At 47.6% G+C, this 13,095-nt stretch overlaps 7 annotated features.

Moving 5' to 3' along the window:
• Positions 617-1,118: an enhancer, noted in NCBI's record as "OCT4 hESC enhancer chr8:38337885-38338386 (GRCh37/hg19 assembly coordinates)". NCBI's record gives its function as "activates a minimal SCP1, AML or CMV promoter by ChIP-STARR-seq in primed H9 embryonic stem cells {active_cell/tissue: H9 hESC(primed)}" and the evidence as "EXISTENCE:reporter gene assay evidence [ECO:0000049][PMID:30033119]".
• Positions 4,775-5,423: an enhancer, noted in NCBI's record as "H3K4me1 hESC enhancer chr8:38342043-38342691 (GRCh37/hg19 assembly coordinates)". NCBI's record gives its function as "activates a minimal SCP1, AML or CMV promoter by ChIP-STARR-seq in primed H9 embryonic stem cells {active_cell/tissue: H9 hESC(primed)}" and the evidence as "EXISTENCE:reporter gene assay evidence [ECO:0000049][PMID:30033119]".
• Positions 5,424-6,071: an enhancer, noted in NCBI's record as "OCT4-H3K4me1 hESC enhancer chr8:38342692-38343339 (GRCh37/hg19 assembly coordinates)". NCBI's record gives its function as "activates a minimal SCP1, AML or CMV promoter by ChIP-STARR-seq in primed H9 embryonic stem cells {active_cell/tissue: H9 hESC(primed)}" and the evidence as "EXISTENCE:reporter gene assay evidence [ECO:0000049][PMID:30033119]".
• Positions 6,455-6,956: an enhancer, noted in NCBI's record as "OCT4 hESC enhancer chr8:38343723-38344224 (GRCh37/hg19 assembly coordinates)". NCBI's record gives its function as "activates a minimal SCP1, AML or CMV promoter by ChIP-STARR-seq in primed H9 embryonic stem cells {active_cell/tissue: H9 hESC(primed)}" and the evidence as "EXISTENCE:reporter gene assay evidence [ECO:0000049][PMID:30033119]".
• Positions 8,722-9,223: an enhancer, noted in NCBI's record as "OCT4 hESC enhancer chr8:38345990-38346491 (GRCh37/hg19 assembly coordinates)". NCBI's record gives its function as "activates a minimal SCP1, AML or CMV promoter by ChIP-STARR-seq in primed H9 embryonic stem cells {active_cell/tissue: H9 hESC(primed)}" and the evidence as "EXISTENCE:reporter gene assay evidence [ECO:0000049][PMID:30033119]".
• Positions 10,231-10,732: an enhancer, noted in NCBI's record as "OCT4 hESC enhancer chr8:38347499-38348000 (GRCh37/hg19 assembly coordinates)". NCBI's record gives its function as "activates a minimal SCP1, AML or CMV promoter by ChIP-STARR-seq in primed H9 embryonic stem cells {active_cell/tissue: H9 hESC(primed)}" and the evidence as "EXISTENCE:reporter gene assay evidence [ECO:0000049][PMID:30033119]".
• Positions 10,886-11,387: an enhancer, noted in NCBI's record as "OCT4 hESC enhancer chr8:38348154-38348655 (GRCh37/hg19 assembly coordinates)". NCBI's record gives its function as "activates a minimal SCP1, AML or CMV promoter by ChIP-STARR-seq in primed H9 embryonic stem cells {active_cell/tissue: H9 hESC(primed)}" and the evidence as "EXISTENCE:reporter gene assay evidence [ECO:0000049][PMID:30033119]".

The following is a 13,095-nucleotide window of genomic DNA, read 5'->3' on the forward strand; positions in this document are numbered from 1 at the left end:
TAGAATATCCCATAAACTTAATTGATAAAGCAGCAGCAGAGTTTGAGAAGATCTAATCCAATTTTGAAACAAGTTCTGCCATGGATAAAATGCTGTCAAACAGTATCACATGCTACAGACAAGTCTTTTGTGAAAGGGATAGTCAATTGATGTGGCAAACTTCACTGTTGTGTTATTTTAAGAAATTGCCACAGTCACCCAAACCTTTAGCAACCAACCACCCTAATCAGTCAGCAGCCATCAACATTGAGGTAAGGCCCTCCACTAGCAAAACGATTACAGCTTACTGAGGGCACTGATGATTGTTAGCAATTTTTTGGCAATAAAGTATTTTTAAATTAAGGTATGGACTTTTTTTAGACATGATGTTATTGTACACTTAATGGACTGCAGTATAGTGTGGATATAACTTTTTTTTTTTTTTTTAAAAGGGAGTCTTGCTCTGTCTCCCAGGCTGGAATGCAGGTGCAGTCTTGGCTCACTGCAACCTCTACCTCCTGGGTTCAAGCGAGTCTCCTGCCTCAGCGTCCGGAGTAGCTGGGTCTACAGGCACGCGCTACCATGCCTGGCTAATGTTTGTATTTTTAGTAGAGGCAGGGTTTCACCATGTTGGCCAGGCTAGTCTTGAACTCCTGACCTCAGGTGATTGACCCGCCTAGGCCTCCCAAAATGTTAGGATTACAGGCATGAACCACCGCACTCGGTCAAACGTAACTTTTATATGCACTGGGAAACCAAAACATTCATGCGACTCACCTTATTGCAATATTAGCTTTATTGTGGTAGACTGTAGTCGAACGCACAATATCTCCAAGGTATGCCTGTATAGAAAATACAAATAGTGGACCAGGCATGGTGGCCTGTAATCTCAGCACTTTGAGAGGCTGCAGATTAGTGGAGCCCAGGAGGATCAAGCCTGCAGTGAGCCATGTTCATGCCACTGTACTCTAGCCTGGGTAACACAGGGAGATCCTGTCTCAGTAAATAAATAAATAAATAAATAAATATCACAGTGTTAGATTTTATCTCTCTACATAAGGCTTTTTGGTGGTATGTTTTATTTTGAAGTCATGATAGCTACTATTAATGAATGCTTACTATGAGCAGGTACTATGGTAAATGGTTTTATAGGAGTTATCCCATTTCAACCTCACAGATGCTATTGTTAGCTCCCAATTCACAGGTGAGAAAACTGAGGCTACATAATTCCCCAAGTCATTATGTAAGGAAGCAAACCTATCAATGCAGATAGGCTGACTCCAGAGCCTTCATGGCCAGCCAGTCCATGTGGGAAAAGAGGCTGTTCTTGATTAACAGAAGGGAATTTAAAACCCCTCTTTCTTTAAAAATTCAATTATTAGAAAAAAGTTTAAACCACACCAAACAGAATTGTAACAGTTTGAGTGTGTGTTTTTAGAGAGAACTTGTTAGTAATCTGCTTGAATCAACACCAGTGCCATTTTTCTAAAACTGTTTTACTTCATAGGATCTTGTGAAGTGTGTGTGTGTGTATGTCTGTGTGTGTGTTGAGGGAGGGGGTGGGATGATAGAAAAAAAGAAGAGCTGAAATCTGACACCTGTGTGCCCAAATCTCAGTGTCACTAGGGGTGTCCCTAGGTTTCAGAACCACCCTGCCGGTTCCAGTTCTGCCAGCCCACTTGGAGGTGGTGTTCAGGAATTATGAGTTCATGCCAAAGCAGGGGCCAGTGAAAATATGGAAGGCATTTTTGAGGAGACTCAACCCACCAGTGCAGAAACTGTATTTTAAGAAACCATGTTTCTGTGTTATGAATAGGTCCACAGAAAACTGAGATAGAATCTTTCAAATCAAGTGTGCTTTCTGCTAGGTATGTTTCAAGTTTATTTTTCATTTGTATCTTTTAGCACGCCTTCTGCCCGCCTATAGTTCCACCTCCTTCTGTCTTTCATAATTTTTTTTTTTTTTGAGATGGAGTCTCACTCTGTCACCAGGATGGAGTGCAGTGGTGCGATCTTGGCTCACTGTAGCCTCTGTCTCCCAGGTTCAAGCGACTCTCATGCCTCAGCCTCCCCAGTAGCTGGGACTACAGGCACACACCATCATGCCCAGCTAATTTTTGTATTTTTAGTAGAGATGGGGTTTCACCATGTTGGCCAGGATGTTCTCCATCTCTTGACCTCGTGATCTGCCCACCTCGGCCTCCCAAAGTGCTGAGATTACAGGCATGAGCCACCTTGCCCGGCCTTTCAGAATTTTTAGTAGAGGAGCAAGGGGTAGGTAGTCTTCTGATTAAAGAAACGATTTTGATCGGGCATGGTGGCTCACGCCTGTAATCCCAGCACTTTGAGAGGCCAAGTGGGGTGGATCACTTGAGCCCAGGAGTGGGAGACTGGCTTGGGCAACACAGTGAGACCCTATGTCCAAAAAAAAAAAAAAAAAGAAAGAAAGAAAAGAAAAAGAAAGTAAAAGAAAAAAAGAAATGGTTTTGTCTCTGACTTCGCTGTCAGGTTTCTCACCATAAACTTTGTTTGGCTATTGTGTTCCTTACGTCTATGAAAGATCCCCTGTCCCTGCCTCCCAGCTTCCCGAGCAGAACGCAGGTCACTAGTTGCCTAAATTAGAGCTGTACTTCATACGATAATTCAAAACCAAGTTTTTAAGTGCAGTGAACATTATTATAACAATCAGGAAGAAAGTTTGTTTTTTTGGGGGGGTGGGGACAGAGTCTCGCTCAGTCGCCCAGGCTGGAGTGCAGTGATGCAATCTTGGCTCACTGCAACCTCCACCTCCCAGGTTCAAGTGATTCTCCTGCCTCAGCCTCCTGAGTAGCTGGGATTACAGGTGCCCACCACCACGCCCGGCTAATTTTTTGTATTTTTAGTAGAGACAGGGTTTCACCATGTTGGCCAGGCTGGTCTCAAACTCCTGATCTCAGGTGATCCACCTGCCTCGGCCTCGCAAATTGCTGGGATTACAGGCATGAGCCATTGTGCCTGGCCAGGAAGAAAGTTTGTTATGTCAAAATGTTGAATATGGGGGCACAGAAAAGAGAACAATCCAGGAATACAAATACTCAACACATCTCTGTCCCCTGTTCATCCTTAAGCCTGTTCCTCCACCAGGAGGGTCCCCTCCGGGACAGCACCTGGCAATCCGCACTGAAGCTGCACAGTCCTCTCCTGAGTACTTAATGGAGACTCAGGAAGGACTTGCTGATGTGGACTCCGCTCTGTGGCTTCTTCCTTCCTGCATTTTTATTGAAGCCCTGGGAAGGGAGCCAGGACATTTGATGATGTTTGTTTCTACAGATACTCCATTCCTTTTTTTTTTTTTTTTTTTTTAACTTCCAGATTAGATTATCATGTGTTGGTGGCAGCAAAAACAGAGGGTTGATGACAGGTAGAGGATCGTTGGAGCACACATTGGGACAATAAATGCCCACACAACTTTGTCCAGACAAAGATGTGGTCGGTCCCCCTGGTCCTGGCTAAGGGGGCTTTGTCCTGGGACTGGGGAGCAGTTACACACCCTTCCTACCTTCCTCTTCCTGTTTCTGCTTCAGGTAGCCTTTTATTTAAATTCTAAAGCCCTTCAGAGGATCTAAATGAGACTATCTCTATCCTTGATCAAATATGCAGAATAACTGCAGCCCTCCTTAGCATTTTGCTTCACTGACTTTCCAATATTCTCCTAGGAGCTGGGTAAGCATCGGTCTGTCCAATGTACAAATTTTTTCTTTTGTCACTTTGGCAAATTTAGCAGCCTCTCTGCACCTCAATTTTCTCAACTGTGAAGTGGATTTGTAGAGTTATGAGAATGTAAAGCTCAGGGCTTTTTAGCTGGGTTGGTAATAGGTGCTCATTAGATGTGGACCACCTTTACCTGAGCTGCTGTGCACGGTACCAGGAGTCACCGATGGGCAAGAAGGCCTGAACTACCCTCTGGTTTATTGCTCAGACATTTGGGGGTGGTACCAGGCTCACCTCTCCACAAAGCCATTCTGAAGCTGCCACCTAGATTGATGCCAGTTTGGGTCTAAAGAGGTGGGGGCCAGGCACAGTGATTCACACCTGTGATCCCAGTGCTTTGGGAGGCCGAGGTGGGAGGATTGCTTGAGGCCAGGAGTTGGAGACCATGTCTCTAGAAAAAATTTAAAAATTAGCTGGGCATGGTGGTTTGTGACTGTAGTCCCAGCAACTTGGGAGGCTGAGGCAAGAGGATCCCTTGAGCCCAGGAGGTCAAAGCTGCAGCACGCTATGATCACACCACTGCACTTCAGCCTGGGAGACACAGCAAGACCCTGTCTCTTAAAAAATAAAAAGAGGTGTGGGGAGGTCCTGCCCCCTTTGCCTTCCTTATTCTCATCAGTGGTCTTCCTTTGTTCCATCCTCACTCAACATTTCATCCTGCACCTGGATTTCATAAGGACAGATGTCAAAGAAAACGTGATTGAGGCAGAGAAAGAAGGGCGAGCAATCCAGGAGCCTGAAACACATTGGTGATTCTCAAATCCCTTTCCTCAATAACTTCCTTGGCAATCTCTTGTGCTCTCTGTCCTCTTGCTCTCTGGCTTCAGATTTCCCTTCCCCTCGGCGTCACTGCCAGGGCTGAAGTGATGGAAAGCTGCAGATTGATGGAGTGGCTGCAGTGCTCTGGCCCTGGCTTCTGCCCTCTGCCACTTCTCCCCTCCTGGACAGAAACTGCTGTCTTTCTTCTTTCTCTTTGGAAAGCTCCTTTCAATTCCTCTTCAATTGCATTATCCTTCTCTAGGGAATCCACTAGTGAGCTCAGGAAGACCCTCAGCATTTCCTGACCACATTTTGTAACACACAGAGCCCCGTAATCTCCATTCATCAAGACTGATTTTTCCACAGCTCTGGTTCTGAAGAGGTCGGGTGGGGGTGGAGAGTGCAGGCTGAGGGATGGATGGTGAAGGAAAGCCTGCAGTGGCAGAGGGGACCCTCCCCAGCAGTGGGGCTTCTTACAGACTGATTGACAGCTGAAGCCAGCCAGCCAGGCTGTAGGGAAGGCACCCAGGAGACGCCCTAAAGTGTGGCCTGGGCTGGGAGGGGCCCCCAGTGCCCATGATTGGTTCAGCCTCTGCTGCCCATGGCCCCTGTCACTGCCAATCCAGGAAGGAAGAGCAGGAAGGCAAACATACCCAACTGCGCAGTTTCTAGATCAGAACTTTGCAATTCTCCATAGTGGCAGAGAAAAAGAAGCCATCCTGCTAGTGCTTAGAGAACTTTAAAATGGGGGCATGGCATGGCAGCACACACAACTAACTTATATCACAGTGGCTTTTCCTTTCAATCACAGAGATGCGCTGACTCTTCCACACTCCCAGCAGCAGGGAAAGCAGGATTTAAATACAGCCTCCAGGGCGGGCGCCGTGGCTCACTCCTCTGTGTTCCAGCACTTTGGGAGGCCGAGGTGGGTGGATCACTTGAGGTCAGGAGTTTGAAACCAGCCTGGCCAGCATGGCAAAACCCCATCTCTACTAAAAATACAAAAATTAGGGGCCGGGCATTATGGCTCACGCCTGTAATCCCAGCACTTTGGGAGGCCAAGGCGGGTGGATCACGAGGTCAGGAGATCAAAACTATCCTGGCTAACACGGTGAAACCCTGTCTCTACTAAAAATACAAAAATTTAGCCGGGCGTGGTGGTGGGTGCCTGTAGTCCCAGCTACTTGGGAGGCTGAGGCAGGAGAATGGCGTGAACCCGGGAGGTGGAGGTTGCAGTGTTGCAGTGAGCCGAGATTGCGCCATTGCACTCCAGCCTGGCAACAGAGTGAGACTCTGTCTCAAAAAATAAATAAATAAATAAAAGCAGTCCCCGGAAAGGAGAGGGGGTACATGCTGCAGCAACTGATCAGCTCTGTGATCCAGGAATGGGGCAACCACAGGGCAGGAGTGAAGGGCGATTTTGTGTCTAAGAAACAACAGAAATCAGGAGGGTGGAGGAGAAGGAAGAGATCAAAAGGGAACAGGAGAGTTAAAGTAGATAAAAGACAAAGGTAAGAAAGAAAGGAAAAGAAGAGAGATGCCGGAGGTTGAATAAGAGAGGAGGTTGCCACAACACAGCCCCTGCCACTGCTGAAAAACAGCAACCTATTCAGAGAGCCTGTGCCACTTGGCCATTGTGGGATTCCAGAAGGGACTCATTAAGGCCTGTCACATGGGCTGCATTGTCTCCAGACAACAGTTCCGCCAGACAGTCCCACCACGGTCTGTGCAGCCAGGGCAGACTCTCCAGGTCTGCTGGACCCAGATCCTGGGGCTGGGTGGGGAGCTGCTCCCTCGATTGTTTCTGTCACCACAATGACAGCTCTAGGGAAGAATACCTCCCTTCCCTCCTGGCTGATCTGTTGTGAAATTCTGGGAGCCCATAGCCTGGGGTGGGTTCTATTAAAACTGCACACACAGCTTCTTTCATCTGTGTAGAGCACAGAGTCTCTGGACCTCAGAGTATAGAAGTGACATCTCACCTACGTTCATTGAAAGACATTGTTTTGAGACGGAGTCTCACTCTGTTGCCCAGGCTGGAGTGCAGTGGCAAGATCTTCAGCTCACTGCAACCTCTGCCTCCTGGGTTCAAGTGATTCTCCCACCTCAGCCTCCCGTGTAACTGGGACTACATGTGCACGCCACTATGCCTGGCTAATTTTTGTATTTTTAGTAGAGATAGGGTATCGCCATGTTGGTCAGGCTGGTCTGGAACTCCTGACCTCAAGTGATCCACCCCCACCCTCGGCCTCCCAAAGTGCTGGGATTACAGGCATGAGCCACCGTGTCGGCCCATTGAAAGACATTTACCTACGAGCGCTGCAAGGGTGAGGTGCGGTTCCTCCCCAGTGTGATTTATTGCCTCCAGTGCAAGAAGTGGGGGGTATCTCCCAGCTTTCTGCCTGTAGCACCCTGCTCAGACCTTCAAAGCTACAGGAAATCCCTAGAGGAAGCTTCTTGGGCACCTCAGAACACAGGAAAAATTGGAACAGCTAAACAAGAGGAATGATAACTTTCATTCCAGGTGTCAGGGATCACCTGCAGAGAGTACATCAGTCACCATTCTCTGAGGGTTATTACTATGCTGCAGCCTTGGGGAAATACCCAGTCCCTATCTATATTCTCTCATTGAGCCACCCTCATTGTATAGAAGTTCAAAGGGTGATTAGGTGATTTGCTCAGGTGTGATTCAAATCTTGAAATCTTTGGAGCTAGGAAGCTCCTCTGGAATCATCTATTAGTTCCCCAATGCTTGAATCCGTTTCCCTCCATAATGAAGCTTTCAAGAGTCTTTGATGAAATGAGACAAGTACGATCATGTAGTGGAGTTTTCCATATAGCTGAATTTCTTTAAAGGCCTCTCCTTAGTATTCTAAGATGATGTCTTATCTACTTTTTTTTTTGAGACGGAGTCTCACTCTGTTGCCCAGGCTGGAGTGTAGTAGCACGATCTCTGCTCACTGCAACCTCTGCCTTCTGGGTTCAAGCAATTCTCCTGCCTCAGCCTCTTGAGTAGCTGAGATTACAGGCACATGCCACCACACCTGGCTAATTTTTGTATTTTTAGTATAGACGGGGTTTCACCATGTTGGCTCAGGCTGATCTCAAACTCCTGACCTTGTGATCTGCCCACCTCAGCCTCCCAAAGTGCTGGAATTACAGGCGTGAGCCACTGCGCCCAGCCTCATCTACTTTTTTAGTATCAAAATGTGCTTTCTTTTTAAAACTGATAGTGATGGTGATATTTTTAAAATATTCTTTTTTGGCAGCATGAAAAGTTAGTCCCCCAAACTTTTAGTTAATTGGACTGGTCCAAAATTCAGGAAATCACTGATCAAATCCAACTCCTTCCTCACCTAGGTGAGAAAACTGAGGCCCAACCAGCTTGAAGTGTCATCCAAGGTCACTCCGCAGGTAAGCAGCCTCTGCCTGGCTGTGTCTATTTTCATTGTGTTCCCCATTCTGGGGATTTTGTGCCACTGGACCTGTGGAATGTGACGAACACTACCTGGTCCCTGGTAGTGGGATGATCTCCCTCTGTGCAATCTCCTCTCCCTGTGTCTGGTATTAAAGCATCAGTCCCTCCCTTCTACCCAGCTGCCACTGGCTCTCTGCATTTGCTCCTGCGCTTAGTGGGCACAGCGTCCCATGCCGGGCACACCACGGCTCCCCTTGTAAACCTGATGGCAGCCTGGCACTCGTCTTCGTGACAGCGGATTGCTGGCCTCCTCTGCGAGGTCATTCCTAAAACGCAGGCATGAAAGTCATCCCCAGCAGCAGTCCCCAGGTCTGACCCGCAAGACATGTGCTTTGTGCCAGGCACTGGCTCATAAATTTTGTATTGAAGTGGCTTAGCCTTGTGCTAACCTGATCTAAATTAAACTTTCTGAGGGAAACTACTGTTTCTTCTCTTTGTTCTGTAACTCTCCACCCCTTTGGTGGGTTATCTGTAACAATGGAGTGTGCTCTATTCTGAGTTCTCTGAAGGTTGGATGGCAGGAATAATATGGCAGATAAGTCAGGGGTGCAGGAGAGGGTGGAACTGGACTGCGGAGAAAGAAATTCTTGAGGCCAAATTTGAAAGGAGAGAGGAAAGCTCAGCCCTATGGACCCAGAGCTTAAAGATGTCCCATTCTTTAGTTCTGGGACAGGATTGCAATGGGAAGGTACTGCGTTCTGACCTCTGTAGGAGGAGGAAGGCCTTTGAAGCCCCCAGAAGTCAAAGAAAAGCTGATAGAGTGAAGAAGTTCCTTCCTGTTCTGGAACCTTCCCAGCTTCCTCTCTCTGGCAGAACCAGCTGAATTGGGGAGTGGATACGTCTAGCCTTCCAGCTCCAAGGGAAAAACAATGATCCTGATCCTCCCCCTCAGCCTTGTTACTGTCTGGGAGAACCACTGCCCGCCCCATGTTTACGTGTCCTAACCAACGAGGGTGGGGCTCAGACTAAAATAGGAGTTATACTTTGCCTTGGATGCATGCACACCCCTCCCTCCACAACACACACACACACACACACACACGAGCACAGAGCACTCCCTGCTCCGATGCCATGTTCCTGGCCAGCTCATAGGGCTCTCAGCCAGTTTGCAGATCAATGAAGGCTGAATAGATCATTCAGCTTGAAACAGGCCCATTCAGTCCTCTCTGCTGTAGCCAGTGCAGTCACCCTTCTCTGCTGAGATTCTGCTAGAAGGGAGCATTACTGTCTTCTGGAATAAAAGTGTTCACTGAAGGAAGGAAGAGAGGACCGCATTCGCGGGGAGAAGGAAGCACTAGTTCTCTTCCTGGAGAATTTCATTAGGGAGAAGCCCAAGGGCGGCCATCTGGCGGAATCCAGGGTTGGAAGCCTCTACTTCACCTGTCAATTGTCTGAATCAGAGAATAAGAAGGAAGTTGCCCCTGTCCCATTCCCTCCTGGCATATAAATCCTCTCTGAGAAGACTTGCTTATCCTGGGCTTTTTACTGAAGGATAGCAGTCTGGATTTACAGAAATAAAAAACAAATTGTTTGCATTCAGATAGCCATTGGGCAACAAGATGTGAAAATGGAGGCCTGTCACAGTGGCTCACCTATAATCCCAGCATTTTGGGAAGCTGAGGAAGGATCTCTTAAGGCCAGGAGTTCAAGACCAGCTTGGACAATATACTCTACAAAACTTTTAAAAATTAGGTGGGCGTGGTGGTGCATGCGTGTAGTCCTGGCTACTTGGGAGGCGAGGTGGGAGGATTACTTGAGCCCAGGAGTTGGAGGCTGCAGTGAGCTGTGATTGTGCCACCACACTCCAGCCTGGGTGACAGAATGAGGCCCTGTTTCTCTTTTAAAAAACATCCTGAAGTTGGGTGATTTAGTGAAGGTCGCTGCTGTGACTTAGCTTTGTAAGTTTGGACAGTTCCATAGCCTCTTTTTTTTGAGATAGAGTCTCGTCTGTTGCCCAGGCTGGAGTGCAGTGGCACAATCTCCTCTCACTGCAACCTCCACCTCCCGGGTTCAAGTGATTCTCCTGCCTCAGCCTCCTGAGTAGCTGGGATTACAGGTGACCGCCACTATGTCTAGCTAATTTTTGTATTGTTAGTAGAGATGGGGTTTCACCATGTTGGCCAGGCTGGTCTCGATCTCCTGACCTAGGTGATCCACTGGTCTCGGCCTCCCCAAATGCTGGGATTACAGACATTGCTATCACGCCCTGGCCCCATAGCCTCTTTGAGTGTCAGTTTCCACATCTGTAAAATGGAGGGAAAAAGTCATCTTACAGCTGGAACTAATGCAGAAGATTAATTAAGGAGGAGACATATGGGGGAGCTGGTGCTTGGCGGTCTTAACACGGCTCCTTCCCTACTGCTTCCAGCTGCCTACCTTCTCCTGAAACTTCCAAAAAGGCACGCGCCAGACTTCTGAAAAGGGAAAGGCGAGGAATTCATTCTCTCATTTCAAAAGCTGTATAGACTCCCTGTCACTGCGTCCTGTCCCCAGGTGGCTGAGTGAACCCTACCATCCTTGGAGTTCATTTGTCCAGCCACTCATCTGTTGAAAGGCAGCTCAGTGTGGTGGAGAGACGTGGGAATCAGAGTCCAGATTCTGGCCCACTGCTTACCTGTCACCTGGTCTCAGAAACAGCATCGACTCTTGGGACAGGAAGGGATCTTTGATGTCATGTCATCCAACCTCACACCTGAAGCTTGAATCTCACCACACACACACATACACGCCACCCCGAATTAAGTGGCTGTCCAGCTTCTATAGGGATGATTCATTACTCCCCAAATGCCTTGCCCTGTCTTTAGACCAGTCTGACTATGACAATGGTTTTCTTCCTATTCAGGTGAAATTTGTCTGCCTGGGGTTTCTTCCTATTCACCATCGTTCCATTCCTTAGGGCTATAAAGAAGGGCTATAAAGGGCTGTCTCCCATGATAGCCTTTCTTCATGTAAACCAGATGATTACATCTGCCTGAGTTTTCTCTGGCCCTTCATATGGCGATTTCAGTTTCTTTGTCATCCTGGTTATCCTCCTTTGCACTCACTTAAATATTGTGAGCCTTGGTTTCCTCATTTTATTTTATTTATTTTTTTGAGACAGGGTCTCCTTCTGTGGCCCAGGCTGGAGTGCAGTGGTGCGATCTTGGCTCACTGCCTCCTCTGCCTCCTCTGCCTCCTGGGCTGAAGCAGTTCTCCCACCTCAGCCTCCCAAGTACCTGGGACTACAGGCATGTACCACCATGCCCAGCAAGTTTTAAAATTTTTTGTAGCGACAGGGTCTCACTGTGTTGCCCAGGCTGGTCTTGAACTCCTGGGCTCAAGCAAGCCTCCCACCTTGGCCTCCCAAAGTGCTGGGATTATAGACATGAGCCACCACACCCAGCCAGTTTCTTCATTTTATAAACAGGAGTGGTTATTCCTGCCTTAAAACACTGCAGTGAGGATTTAACAATGAAAAGTGCCTTAGACCGAGGATGTGCTCTGCTAATATTTGATGATGAATGAGTAGCTGAAATAAGGATGTGGAGATGCTATGTACACCATAGTTTGCTCCCTGTACTGAATGCACAGACTGGGTGGCTAAAACTATAGACATTTATTGTCTCATGGGTCTGGAGGCTGGAAGTCCAAGATCAAGGTGCTGATGAGGTGGGTTCTTCTGAGCCTCTCTCTGGGCTTACAGAGGGACCCTTCTCCCTGCGTCTTCACATGGTTGTCCTTTGGTCTGTGTCCTAACATCCTCTTCTTATAAGGACACCAGTCCGATTGGATTAGGCCCACCCTAAAGACCTCATTTTAACTTCAGGCACCCCTTAAAAGACCTTGTCTCCACATATGGTTACATTCTGAGGTATTGGAGGATAAGGTTTTAACAAATAATTTTTTGGCCTGGCTCGGTGGCTCATGCCTGTAATCCCAGCACTTTGGGAGGCCAAGGCGGGTGGATCACGAGGTCAGGAGATCGAGACCATCCTGGCTAACATGGTGAAACCCCGTCTCTACTAAAAATACAAAAAAAAAAATTAGCCGGGCACGGTGGCGGGCATCTATAGTCCCAGCTACTCAGGAGGCTGAGGCAGGAGAATGGCGTGAACCCGGGAGGCAGAGCTTGCAGTGAGCCGAGATAGTGCCACTGCAGTCCGGCCTGGGCAAAAGAGCAAGACTCCATCCATCTCAAAAAAAAAAACAAATAATTTTTTTTTCTTTTGAGACGGAGCCTCGCTCTGTTGTCCAGGCTGGAATGCAGTGGCATGATCTCGGCTCACTGCAACCTCTGCCTCCTGGGTTCAAGGGATTCTCCTGCCTCAGCTTCCTGAGTAGCTGAGACCACAGGCATGTGCCACCATGCCCAGCTAATTTTTGTATTTTTAGTAAAGACGGGGTTTCACCATGTTGGCCAGGATGGTCTCGATCTCTTGACCTTGTGATCTGCCCGCCTCGGCCTCCCAAAGTGCTGGGATTACAGGCATGAGCCACCGCACCCAGCCACACAAATGAATGTTTGAGGAATGCAGTTCAGCTCATAACACTCACCAGTGTATTGTTAGCAGTTTTATTTATTGTGACACTGTTCAGAGATGATATTTGTGTGTAAAGTGGTAGGCCCTTTGTATATGAGAAATGAGTTATTGCAGGCCCACTTTAATAAATAAATATTTTGGACAGGTAATATATTTACATGGTTCAGAATTCAAAAGGTCATAGAAAAGGAAACACAAATGGCCAATAAACAGAAGAAGATGCTCCCAATGTTAGCAGTAACCAAAAAAATGTGAATGAAGCTCCTAAGATCGCACCATTTTACACCCACTGGTTTGGCAAAAAATTTAAAGACTGTTCGTATCAAGCATTGATGAAAGTGATAAACAAAAAAAACCCCTTCATGCTGCTTGAGAGGATTGGTACAACCACGTTGGAAGCCATTTGGCAAAAGCTGGGAGTCTGTCTACCCGCTGGCCCAGTAGTTCCACTGCCAGGAGCCAACCCTGGAGAACTCTTGCATGAGTGCAGCAAGAGGCAGATACATGAATGTTCATAGCCACATAGATGGGAAAGAACTCATTGTGGATCACCAGGAAAAGGGATCAAGAAAGTGGGTATATGCACTCAATGGAATGTTAGTTAACAAT

This window comes from Homo sapiens, chromosome 8, assembly GCF_000001405.40.
Source record: "Homo sapiens chromosome 8, GRCh38.p14 Primary Assembly".
In the NCBI taxonomy this organism is placed as follows: Eukaryota; Metazoa; Chordata; class Mammalia; order Primates; family Hominidae; genus Homo; species Homo sapiens.